Here is a 12973-nt window from a genome sequence, read left to right on the forward strand (position 1 = left end):
TGGTAAACCTGAGCCTACAAAGGCTCAATCCATCATTGAGTTGAAGGTATGCTAGTTATCTCTCTTCTGTAAACAATCAAAGGAGGGGCTGGACACGGTGGCTCATACTTGTAATCCCAGCACTTTGGGAGGCCGAGGTGGGCAGATCACAAGGTCAGGAGTTCGAGACCAGCCTGACCAACATAGTGAAACTCCTCCTCTACTAAAAATACAAAAAAAAATTAGCCAGGCATGGTGGCGCATGCCTGTAATCCCAGCTACAGCTACTCAGGAGGCTGAGGCAGAAGAATCACTTGAACCCAGGAGGCGGAGGTTGCAGTGAGCCGAGATTGCACCATTGCACTCCAGCCTGGATGACAGAGCAAGACTCCACCTCAAAAAAAAAAAAAAAAAAAAAAAAAAAAGAATCAAAGGAGGCATGCTTCAAGCAGAAAAAGAAGCCAGACGCGGTGGCTCATGCCTGTAATCCCAACACTTTGGGAGGCTGAGGTGGGTGCATCACTTGAGATCAGGAGTTCGAAACCAGCCTGGCCAACATGGCAAAACCCCGTCTCTACTAAAAATACAAAAATTAGCCAGGTATGGTGGCACGTGCCTGTAATCCCAGTTACTCAGGAGGCTGAGGTAGGAGAATCACTTGAGCCTGGGATGTGGAGGTTGCAGTGAGCCGAGATCGCGCCACTGTACTCCAGCCTGGGTGACGGAGCAAGACTCCATCTCAAAAAAAAAAAAAAAAAAAGAGAGAGAGAGAGAGAGAGAGAGAAGATCATGGTTTTGAACCAACAAGGCTTTAAGAGATGTGGAGCCTATTTCTGATGCAGACATACAGACCCTAAAGAAGACGTTTACCAGTGAGGCTACACACCTGATACTGAGTCAAAAATCTGATACTAGATGGAAAAAAAGAAAAAGAAAAGATGTAAGCTGAGCTTTACCCAAGTAAAGAAGTAGCCTTAATATCCTGCTAGTGGTCTGATTCAGGCAAATCAAAAAGGTCAAACAGAAACAGAAGAGGGAGAAGGGTAAGATTTCCAGGGGCACAGAAATCATAAACACTCCAGGAAACAGGTAAAAAGGGCAATGGCCCTACAAAGAGTGTAGGATAATCTGAAATTCAGGGGAGGAATTCTTGGTGTCAGAGAGGAAAGTTTCTTCCTCAAACAGGATGCCAGAAAAAGGGCAAAAATTCTACAACTGTTAAGTCCAATGCTGAATGAAGTAAGAATCTTTACTTCGGTCCTATCCAAATAAAATAATGAAAGGCATATTTGATTTCAGTTATTCCCCGGAGGCAGGATGATACTTCACCAGTGCCTCTGGCCCATATTCCCACCTCCAATTACCACCAGTAGCTCCTCCTCTCTATAGTCACTCTAACAACTCTGTGTGGCTCCACTGTTCACATTGTTACCAAAAATAACTAGTGATAGATTAGAGATAATAAACAAGATGGGAAAAAGCAGCATCTCAACTTAAACTAAAAATTGAAAACAGGCAACAGAGAGAAGGGTTATGTAGAAATAAGTAGCAGATTCTAGTCTCTCCTGCTCCCAGCCTTTTTTGTTTGCTTGTTTTTGAGACGGAGTCTCACTTTGTTGCCCAGGCTGGAGTGCATTGGCGCCATCTCAGCTCACTGCAAGCTCTGCCATTCTCCTGCCTCAGCCTTCCGAGTAGCTGGGACTACAGGCACCCACCACCACGCTCGGCTAATTTTTTGTATTTTTAGTAGAGACAGGGGTTTCACCGTGTTAGCCAGGATGGTCTCAATCTCCTGACCTCGTGATCTGCCCGCCTCGGCCTCCCAAAGTGCTGGGATTACAGGCGTGAGCCATCATGCCCGGCCTCCTGCTCCCAGCTTTTCTAAATATCTAGGTTGTCTGCTAGTCATCTTTACTGGAGAAAACTGTAGAGATCAAATAGGGATGAAAGGGGAATGAAGTCTCCATTCTTTCTTCCCCAAAGAGCGCTTTGAGGAAGAACTTCTCTCCAAATTAGAAATTATTCCTCTGAGGCAGGCGGGTCACCTGAGGTCGGGAGTTTGAGACCAGCCTGACCAACATGGAGAAACCCCGTCTCTACTAAAAATACAAAATTTAGCTGGGCGTGGTGGTGCATGCCTGTAATCCCAGCTACTTGGGAGGCTGAGGCAGGAGAATCGCTTGAACCAGGGAGGCAGACGTTGCAGTGAGCCAAGATCGTGCCTGGGCAATAAGAGCGAAACTCTGTCTCTCAAAAAAAAAAAACAATTATTCCTAATACTGCAGAAAACCTTCTCTCCAATGAAATAGAAGGAACATGGAGAACAGAGGTAAAGAGGTAAAGAGAGAGAATAAACAGATTCTCCTTTCATCTTAGAAATGGCAGATGAGACTGCTTCCCAGAATGGATATTCCTGGTCTTTCAAGCCCCACCTTCTTTGACCTCATGCAACAGGCCCCTCATTCACCAATCACTCCAGTCTTCATGACTTTTGTCTAGGCAGTTCCAAAAGGATTACTTACACCAAGGGGGCTTCTCAGAGCGCTGCTGGAGTTGCAGGGGAGGTGAATGAAGAGTACGTGGTGGAGAAAATGGGTTATCTGAGGCCTGGCTGCTGTGCATGGAATCAAAGAGGGCTGGAAAGGAGGTAGGGTGAAGGGAGAGGGAAGAAAAAAAGACATATGAGGAAGAATCCAGGAGCCACACGTTCTCAACATAAGTCAAAGCCAACTTACCCTTCCTTGGCTGAGAAGTAGCATTTCCTGGGGACCCTTCAACCAAACCATTTTCAATTTTTTAAACGTTATATTATGAACATTTTCAAACATATATTTTTAAAAAGTAGTTGAAAGACTGCTGCAGTCAATGCCCATATACCCGTCTCCTAGATTTAACACACTGACATTTTTGCCATACTTGTTTCATCTATTTCTGCATGCTAAAGTGTTTTAAAATAAATGACAGACATTATGAAACATGTCACCTCTAAATACTTCAAAATGCATCTCTAAAATATAAGAAATGGCTGGGTGCAGTGGCTCATGCCTGTAATCCTAACACTTTAGGAGGTCGAGGCAGGTGGATCACTTGAGGCCAGGAGTTCAAGACCAGCCTGGCCAACACAGCAAAACCCCATTTCTACTAAAAATACAAAAATGAGCCGGCATGGTGGCACATGCCTGTAATCCCAGCTATTTGGAAGGCTGAGGCTTGAGAATCGCTTGAACTTGGGAGGCAGAGGTTGCAGTGAGCTGAGATCGCACCACTGCACTCCAGCCTGGTGGCAGAGTGAAACTCTGTCTCAATAATAATAATAAAATATAAGATATTTTTCCAGCTGGGTGTGGTGGCTCATGCCTGTAAACCAGCACTTTGGGAGGCCAAGGTGGGTGGATCACTTGAGGCCAGAAGCTCAAGACAAGCCTGGTCAACATGGAGAAACCCCGTCTACTAAAAATGTAAAAATTAAGGCCGGGCACAGTGGCTCACGTCTGTAATCCCAGCACTTTAGGAGGCCGGGGCAGGCAGATCACGAGGTCAGGAGTTCAAGACCAGCCTGACCAACATGGTGAAACCCCGTCTCTACTAAAAATACAAAAATTAGCCGGGTGTAGTGGCACATGCCTGTAATCCCAGCTATTTAGGAGGCTGAGGCAGGAGAATTGCTTGAACCCAGGAAACAGAGGTTGCAGTGAGCCGAGATCGCATCATTGCACTCCAGCCTGGGCGACAGAGCAAGACTCTGTCTCAAAAAAAAAAAAAATTAGCTGGGTGTGGTGGTACATGACTGTAATCCCAGCTATTTGGGAGGCTGAGGCATGAGAATCACTTGAACCCAGGAGGCAGAGGTTGCACAGTGAGCAGAGATTGTGCCACTGCACTCTACCATGGGCGACAGAGAGAGACTCTGTCTCAAAAAAAAAAAAAAAAAAAAGAGAAGAGAAAAGATATATATAAAGAAATTTTTCCAACATAGCCAAACACCATTAACAAGCTAAACAAAATTAAAAATTATTGCCTAGTATCATTCAATACCCAGTCCATATTCAAATTTTCCCAATTATTCCCCCAAATGTCTTTTATAAAAGCATCCAAACATGAACCATGCACTGCATCTCGTTATGTCTTTGAAGTGTCTTTTAATCTAGAATAGTGCAGCCTCTCCTTTTTTCATAGTAACTTTTTTGAGACAGGGTCTCGCTGTCACCCAGGCTGGAGTGCAGTGGTGTGATCACAGCTCACTGCCGTCTTGACCTCCTGGCTCAAGCGATCATCACACCTCAGCACCTTGAGTAGCTGGGACTACAGGCACATATCACCACTCCTGGCTAATTTTTTGTATTTTAGTAGAGATGGGCTTTTACCATGCTGCCTAGGCTGATCTTGAACTCCTGGGCTCAAGCAATGTGCCCGCCTCAGCCTTCCAAAGTGTTAGGATTACAGGCGTGAGCCACCATCCCCAGCCCATAGTAACTTTTTGAAAAGAAGGTCAGGCACGGTGGCTCATGCCTGTAATCCCAGCACTTTGGGAGGCCGAGGCGGGTAGATCACCTGAGGTCAGGAATTCAAGACCAGCCTGGCCAATATGGAGAAATTCCATTTCTACAAAAAATACAAAAACTAGCCAGGCGTGGTGGTGGGCGCCTGTAATCTCAGCTACTTGGGAGGCTGAAGCAGGAGAATCACTTGAACCTTGAACCCGGGAGGCAGAGGTTGCAGTAAGCCAAGATCATGCCACTACACTCCAGCCTGGGCAACAAAGCAAGACTCCATCTCAAAAAAGAAAAAAAAAAAAAGAGAGAAAAGAGAAAAGAACAGGCCAGTTGTCTTTGCAGAAGGTCATGTCCCACATTCTGGACTTGTCTAATTGTTTCCACATAGAATCATTTAACTTATTTCACTATCCCTTGTATTTCCTATTAACTGGAAATTGATCTAACTTAACTGATTTATGTTAAATAATTTTGTTAAGAATACTTTAAGAGGTGATCCCATGTGCTGTATATTGCATCATACTGGAGGCATATTGCCTCATTGTCCCATTATAAGTAAGGCTAAGTTTACTAACTAGGTTAAGGTGGCACCAACAAGATCTCATTGTGAAGCTTTCCCCTTCTGATTAGGGGTGATCCTTTGAGGAATGTCTAGTTCTCCACCATCAACTGGCATATTCTCTGTAAAGAAGAGCTTTCCTTCTGCAAATGGGACTATTTGATTATACTGAACTACAGTTCTCACTGAAAAGGCAGAATGTTTATTTCCCTTTAATTGGTTTTCAGAGTAGAGAGTTAGTGAAAAATATTTTCCAATAGTGCTGGATGAGTATTAATTTGTCTTATTTACTTAATTTTGGCGGGGGGGGGGGGCAGAGTCTTGCTCTGTCACCCATGCTAGAGTGCTGTGGTACGATCACAGCTCACTGCAGCCTCAAACTCCCAGGTTCAAGCGATCCTCCAACCTCAGCTTCCTGAGTAGCTCAGACTACAGGCGCATAGCACAATGCCTAGCTCATTTCTGTATTTTTGTAGAGATGGGGTTTCACCATGTTGCCCAGGCTGGTCTCGAACTCCTGAACTCAAGTGATTCCCCTGCCTTGGCCTTCGAAAGTGCTGGGATTACAGGTGCATGAGCTACCTCACCTAGCACCCAGCTCTTGTTTTCATTCATTATGAGCTTGTGGATTTTTATTATATATATTCAGTGTGTGTGTGTGTGTGTGTGTGTGTGTGTGTGTGTGTGTGTGTGTGTGTTTTAGAGACAGGCTCTTACTCTGTCAGTGGCTGGAATGCAGTGATGCTAGCACAGTTCACTGCAGCCTCAAACTCCTGGGCTCAAGCAATCCTCCAACATCAGCCCACTGAGTAACTAGGACTATAGGTGTGTGCCATCATGCCTGGCTAACTTTTTAATTTTCTTAGAGATAAGATCTAGCTATGTTGCCCAGGCTGGTCTAAATTCCTAGGCTCAAGCGATACTCCCACTTCAGCCTCCTGAGTAGCTACATTCAGTGTACTTCAATCAACTACATAATTATTCTTTTTAATGCCCAAATTGTCCCAATTTTGGTCACTGGGAGCCTCTTTGGGCTTGATTGTTTCCTTGCTTTCCTTTACAACATGCTGCAAGATCATCCTGGGCTTTCTTTGCCCTCAGCCATGCATTCCAAACAAAATTGGTTCTTGGTGGGGGTAACAAAATCTTAGCTATTCCAATGGTAAATGGTCACAATACATAAACAGATATATGATATATCTGTGGTGTTAAAATTTCATGTGGTAGGAGGTAATTAGGAAAAAAAATTCTAAACAAACTGCTGGTTGGGTGGGGGGAGGGGGCAGGGATAGCATTAGGAGATATACCTAATGCTAAATGACAAGTTAATGGGTGCAGCACACCAGCGTGGCACATGTATACATATGTAACAAACCTGCACGTTGTACACATGTACCCTAAAACTTAAAGTATAATAAACAAACAAACAAACAAACAAACAAAACAAAAAAAAAACTCCTGGGATGGAGAGTAATTTCTACAAAGCTTTAAAAAAACCCTGCTCTAGACCAAAAATCAAGTTATTTCCCCATGGAATCCTGGTTACTTTTAGTGGATAATGGTACATAGAGACCAAAATCTAGTTGCTAAAGGAGCTCATGCTACATTTGCCAATGCATAGTACTAGAAAAAGCACTTAAAAACCAGAATTCATATTGATATTGCCAATTCATATTTATCATTACAGTATTTTAAAAGTCTTTTGAATTTATACTTTCATCTAATTTATCTTACTTTGAAAATCCTCGTTCCTAATAACAGGAACATAATTCCTTATTTGCTACTCTGTAATGCATATATATATATATATAAAATATATATTCACACACTATATACATAGTATCAATATCACTGTAGTATCAATATCACTATTAACAATTAAACTACTGAATAAGGATTACAATTATAGTTCTTTTTGTCCCACCAAAGAACTGATAAAGTATTCTAAAGTTATTGAAAAATTATTTTACCCATGTGGTTATGTTACTATTTTGATATACAGTTAGGGTCATTTCTTTCTTTTTTTGCAATTTTAGGTTTTGTTTCTTTTCTTAACTTTATATTTTGAAAAACATTTACAGGCTCACAAGTCAAAGCTATACAAAAAGGCACACTCAGAGAAACTGCATTTCCTTCATGCCCTTCAGCCCCATTCCCTATTGTTAAATCTGAGGTAATAAATTTTGTTTCTGGTTTATACTTCTAGCAAGTATTTTTTGTAAATATATATGTATTTTTTCTTTATTTCCCCTCTCTACTTACAATATAGGTAACATACTATTAACACTATTCTACATCTTGTTTTTTTCACTTAATAATATATCCTGGTGATTATTTCATATTAGATCATATAGAGCTTCCTCATTAGTTTTAACAGATGCATAGTATTCAATTGAGTGGACACACCACAGCTTTTTCAACTACTCTTGCACTAAAGAACTTCTGAGTCATTTCCAATATTTTGCCACTTTAAATAATGTCCCAATGAATAACTGTATATAAATGTTATTTCAGGCTGGGAGCAGTGGCTTACATCCATAATCCCAGCACTTTGGGAGGCTTAAGCAGGAGAGTCATTGAGGCCAGGAGTTCAAGACCAGCCTGGGCAATAAAGTGAGACTCTTGTCTCTACAAAAAATTTTAAAAATTATCTGGGCATGGTGGCACATGCCTGTAGTCCCAGCTATTTGGGAGGCTGAGGCAGGAGGATCACTTGAACACAGGATTCCAGCCTTCAGTGATCATGCCACTGTTCTCCAGGCATGATCATACCACAGTACTCCAGCCTAGGTGACAGAGCAAGACCCTGTCTCTAAAAAAACACATAAATAAGCAAATGTTATTTCAACTTTGCATAGAAATGGCTTCAGAATAGATTCTTAAAAGTGGATTATTGGGGCCGGGCGTGGTGGCTCACGCCTGTAATTACAGCACTTTGGGAGGCAGAGGTGGGCAGATCACGAGGTCAGGAGATCGAGACCATCCTGGCTAACACAGTGAAACCCCGTCCCTACTAAAAATACAAATAATTAGCCGGGTGTAGTGGTGGGCGCCTGTAGTCCCAGCTACTCAGGAGGCTGAGGCAAGAGAATGACGTGAACCCAGGAGGCAGAGCTTGCAGTGAGCCGAGATGGCACTACTGCACTCTAGCCTGGGCGACAGAGCAAGAGTCCGTCTCATAAAAAAAAAAAAAAAAGTGGATTATTGGATCAGAGGTTAACTATAATTCTGTGAGATACTACAAAATGTACCTCCATAGAGATTGTACCATTTTGTACCCCCACCAACAATGTACAGGATTTCTAGTTTCACCAGACTTGCCAAGAGAGTATATTGTCAAACTTTTGGATTTTTTCCAATCTAACAGGTGAGAAATAATATCTCAGTGTAGTTTTAATTTGCATACCTCTTATGGAAGGTTAAGCATAATTTCATATGTACAATGGCTATCTGCATTTCTTTCTCTGTACACTTCTTTTTTTTTTTTTTTTTTTTAGTGATGGGGTTGTTCAGGTAGTAGTAGCTGATTGTGTAGTAGCACAATCACAGCTCACTCCATCCTCGAACTCCTGGGCTCCAGTGATCCTTCTGCCTTGGCCTCCCAAAGTGCTGCTATTACAGGCATGAGTCACTGCACCTGGCCTAATTTGTCAATCTTTTTTTTGCTTCACAAGTTTGACTTTGAGTCAGAATTAGGCTTTCCTTACTTTCAGATGATAAAGGAATTTACCACTAACACCCTGCTTACTTTTAGTACTTGCATGGTTTAATTTTTTTTATTGAGGTGAAATCCACATAACATAAAAGTTAGCCATCTTAAATTGTATAATTCTGTGGCATTTAGTACACCCACAGTGCTGTGCAACCACCACCTCTATCTAGTTCCAAAACATTTTCGTCACCCCAGAAGAAACCCCATATCCATTAAGAAGTCAATCCCGGCTGCTCTGCCTATGGAGCAGCCATTCTTTTATTCCTTTACTTTCTTAATAAACTTGCTTTCACTTTATGGGGAAAAAAAAAAAAAGAAGTCAATCTCCATTCCATCCTACTCCCAAACCCTGGAAACCACCAATCTGCTTTCCGTCTCTATGGATTTACTTATTCTGGATATTTCATATAAATAAAATCATACAATATGTGACTTTTTGTGTTTGGTTTCTTGCATTTGGCATAATGTTTTTAAGGTTCATCCACATTTTAATATGTATCGGTACTTCATTCCTTTTTATAGCTCAGTAATATTCCATTGTATGTACATACTACATTTTATCTATTCATTGACATTTCAGTTGTTTTTACCTTTTGACTTTTTGAGAAAGGGTCTTGCTCTTTCATCAAGGCTGAAGTGCAGTGGTGTGATCGTAGCTCACTGTAACCTTGAATTCCTGGGTTCAAGTGATCCTCCCGCCTCAGCCTCCAGAGTAGCTAAGACTACAGGTGCACACCACCATGACTGGCTAATTTTTTTATTTCCTATTTTGTAGAGATATGTTGTCCAGGCTGGTCTTGAACGCCTGGTCTTAAGCAATCCTCCTGCCTTGGCCTAACAAAGAGCTGGGATTACAGGTGTGAGCCATCATCCTCAGCTTTGATTATTGTGAATAGTGTTGCCATGAACATCTGTGTGTATTTGTTTGAGTACCTGTTTTCAATTTTTTTTTTTTTTTTTTTTTTTTTTGAGTCTCACTCTGACACCCAGGCTGGAGTGCAGTGGCATGAACTTGGCTTATTACAGTCTCAACCTCTGGGGCTCAGGTGATTCTTCCACCTCAGTCTCCTGAGTAGCTGGGACTACAGGTGTGCACCACCATGCCCAGGTAACTTTCTGTATTTTTTTGTGGAGACAAGGTTTCACCATGTTGCCCAGGCTGGTCTTGAACTCCTGTGCTCAAGTGATCCGCCCACCTTGGCCTCCCAAAGAGCTGGGATTACAGGCATGAGCCACTGTGCCCAGCCTATGTTTAATTTTTTGAGGAACAAACTGTTTTCCACAGTAGCTGTACTATTTTATACTTCCATTAGCACTGTATGAGAGTTCCAGTTTGTCCACATCCTAACTAACACTTTCTTTTCTTTATTTTTAATGGCTATCCGGTGGGTATGAAGTGGTATGTCACTGTGGTTTAGATTTGTATATCCCTAAACTAATGAGAGTTAGCATCTTTTCATGTGCTTCTTAGCTATTTACATGTCTTCTTTGGAGAATGTCAATTCAAGTCCTTTGCTCCTTTTTAAACTGTGTTGTCTTTTTGTTGTTGTTATCATCTGTACGTATTAGATATAATATTTGTAAATATTTTCTCCCTTTCTGTAGTTGTTATTTTACTTTTTGATAATATCCTTTGATGCACAAATATTTTTAGTTTTGGTGAAGTCTAATTATTTTTTCTTTTGTTGCTTATGCTTTTGTTCTACAAATCCATTGCCAAATTTAAGGTCATTAAGATTTACTCTACGACTTCTTCTAAGAGATTTATAATTTTAACTCTTATACTTAGGTCATTGATCCATTTTGAGTTAATATTTTCATATGATATGAGGTAGGGGTGAATGAGTTCTTTTGCAATGTGAATACCTAGTGGTTTCAGCACCACTTATCGAAGAGACTATTCTTTCTCCATTGAATAGTTTTGACATCCTTGTTGAAAATCAACTGGCCATAGATGTTTAATTCTGGACTCTTGATTCTATTCTAGTGGTCTATATGTTTATACTTACAGCAATACCACACTGTTTTGATTACTATAGCTTTGCAATACATTTGGAAATTAGGAAGTTTGAGTCCTCCAGTTTTGTTTTGCTTTTTCAAGATTCTTTTGGCTGTTCAGGCCCTCTTACAGTTCCCTATGAATTAGAGGAGTCAGCTTTTCCATTTCTGAAGAAAAGACATTAAAATTCTGATAGGGATTGCATTAAATCCATAGATCGCTTTGGGGAATACTGCCATCTTAACAATATCATGTCTTCAACATGAACATGAAATGCCTTTCCATTTATATAGGTCCTCTTTAATTTTTTCTTTATTGAGACAGGGTCTCACTTTGTCACCCAGGCTAGAGTGCTGGTAGCTGGGCTACAGGCATGCATCACCACACCCAGCTAATTTTTTTTTTCAAGATGGAGTCTTGCTCTGTCACCCAGGCTGGAGTGCACTGGCGCGATCTTGGCTCACTGCAACCTCCGCCTCCCGGGTTCAAGCAATTCTCCTGCCTCAGCCTCCTGAGTAGCTGGGACTACAGGCACCCGCCACTGTGCCTGGCTATTTTTTTTATTATTATTATTTTTTAATAGAGACAGGGTTTCATCATGTTGGACAGGCTGGTCTTGAACTCCTGACCTTATGATCTTCCTGCTTCAGCCTCCCAAAGTGTTGGGATTACAGGCATGAGCCACCACACCCAGGCTTTTTTTTTTTCTTTTAATTTTTTGTAGAGACAGGGTTTCTCCATGCTGATCAGGCTGGTCTTGAACTTGTGAGCTTAAGCAATCTGCCTGCCTTGGCCTCCCAAAGTGTTGGGATTACAGGTGTGAGCCACCGCACCCTGCGTTGTTTTTTTTTTTTTTAAGCAAGACAGGGTTTCACTCTGTTGCCCAGGCTGGAGTACAGTGGTGCAATCATGGCTCACTGCAGTCTTGACCTTCCAGGTTCAGGTGATCCTCCTGCCTCAGCCTCCCAAGTAGCTAGGAATAAGAGGCACATGCGACCACACCCAGTTAAGTTTTCTTAAAAATTATTTGTAGACCCCGGGTGCAGTGGCTCACGCCTGTAATCCCAACACTTTGGGATGCCAAGGCGGTGGATCACCTGAGGTCAGGAGTTCGAGAGCAGCCTTGCCAACATGGTGAAACCCTGTCTCTACTAAAATTAGAAAAAAATTAGCTGGGCATGATGGCAAGCACCTGTAATCCCAGCTACTCGGGAGGCTGAGACAGGAGAATCGCTTGAACCTGGAAGGCGGAGGTTCCAGTGAGTGGACATTGCGCCACTGCACCCAAGCCTGGGTGACAGAGTGAGACTCCATCTCAAAAAAAAAAAAAAAAAAAAAAAAAAAAAATATATATATATATATATATATATACATATATATAATTTGTAGAGACAGGGCCTTATGTTGCCTAGGCTGGTCTTGAACTTCTTGGCTCAAGCAATCCTTCTGCCTCAGCCTCCCAAAGTGCTGGAATCACAGGCATGAACCACTGTACCTGGCCTTCCTTAATTTCTTTCAGCAATGTTTTGTAGTTTTTGGTGTACAAATCTTTCAACTTCTTGGTTAAATTTGTTCCCAGGCATTTTATTCTTTTGAATGCTATGGAAAATAGAATTGTTTTTATTATTTCCTTTTTCAGTTGTTCATTGCTGGTGTATATAAACACAATTGGGCCAGACACCGTGGCTCATGCCTGTAATCCCAGCACTTTGGGAGGCCGAGGTGGCAGGATCACTTGAAGCCAGTTCAAGAACAGCCTAGGCAATATGGCAATACCACATCTCTACAAAAAATTAGCCAGCCGTGGTGGCACATGCCTGTGGTCCTACCTACTTGGGAGGTTCAGGTGGGAGGATCACTTGAGCCTGGGAGGCAGAGGTTTCAGTGAGCTGAGATCATGCCAGTGCACTCCAGCCTGGGCAACAGAGCAACAACCTGTCTTAAAAAAAAAATCTTTATACAAATTTTAAAAAATTTATTTTGTAAGCCTGGGCTCATGCCTATAACCCCAGCACTTTGGGAGGCTGAGGTAGGAGGATCACTTGATTCCAGGAATTCGAGACCAGCCTGGGCAACATGGCAAAACCCCATCTCTACAAAAAATACAAAAATTAGCTGGATGTGGTGGTATATGCCTATAGCCCCAGCTATTTGGGAGGCTGAGGTGGAAGGATTGCTCCAGCACAGGAGGTCAAGGCTGCAGTGAGCCATGATGGCACAACTACACTCAA

General features: G+C 42.1%; 1 protein-coding gene across 56 annotated transcripts in view; it reads right to left on the reverse strand.

Moving 5' to 3' along the window:
- Positions 1 to 12973, reverse strand: part of PPIP5K1 (diphosphoinositol pentakisphosphate kinase 1) — a 56779-nt gene that overhangs the window by 3494 nt on the left and 40312 nt on the right. For all 56 annotated transcript variants that reach the window (XM_047433387.1, XM_047433384.1, NM_001354396.2 and 53 more), the window contains one exon: positions 2502 to 2615. In XM_047433387.1, coding sequence (XP_047289343.1) covers positions 2502 to 2615 — 114 coding nt within the window. The remainder of the gene's footprint in view (positions 1 to 2501; positions 2616 to 12973) is intronic.

The sequence above is a fragment of the Homo sapiens genome, chromosome 15 (genome assembly GCF_000001405.40).
Source record: "Homo sapiens chromosome 15, GRCh38.p14 Primary Assembly".
Lineage (NCBI taxonomy): Eukaryota > Metazoa > Chordata > Mammalia > Primates > Hominidae > Homo > Homo sapiens.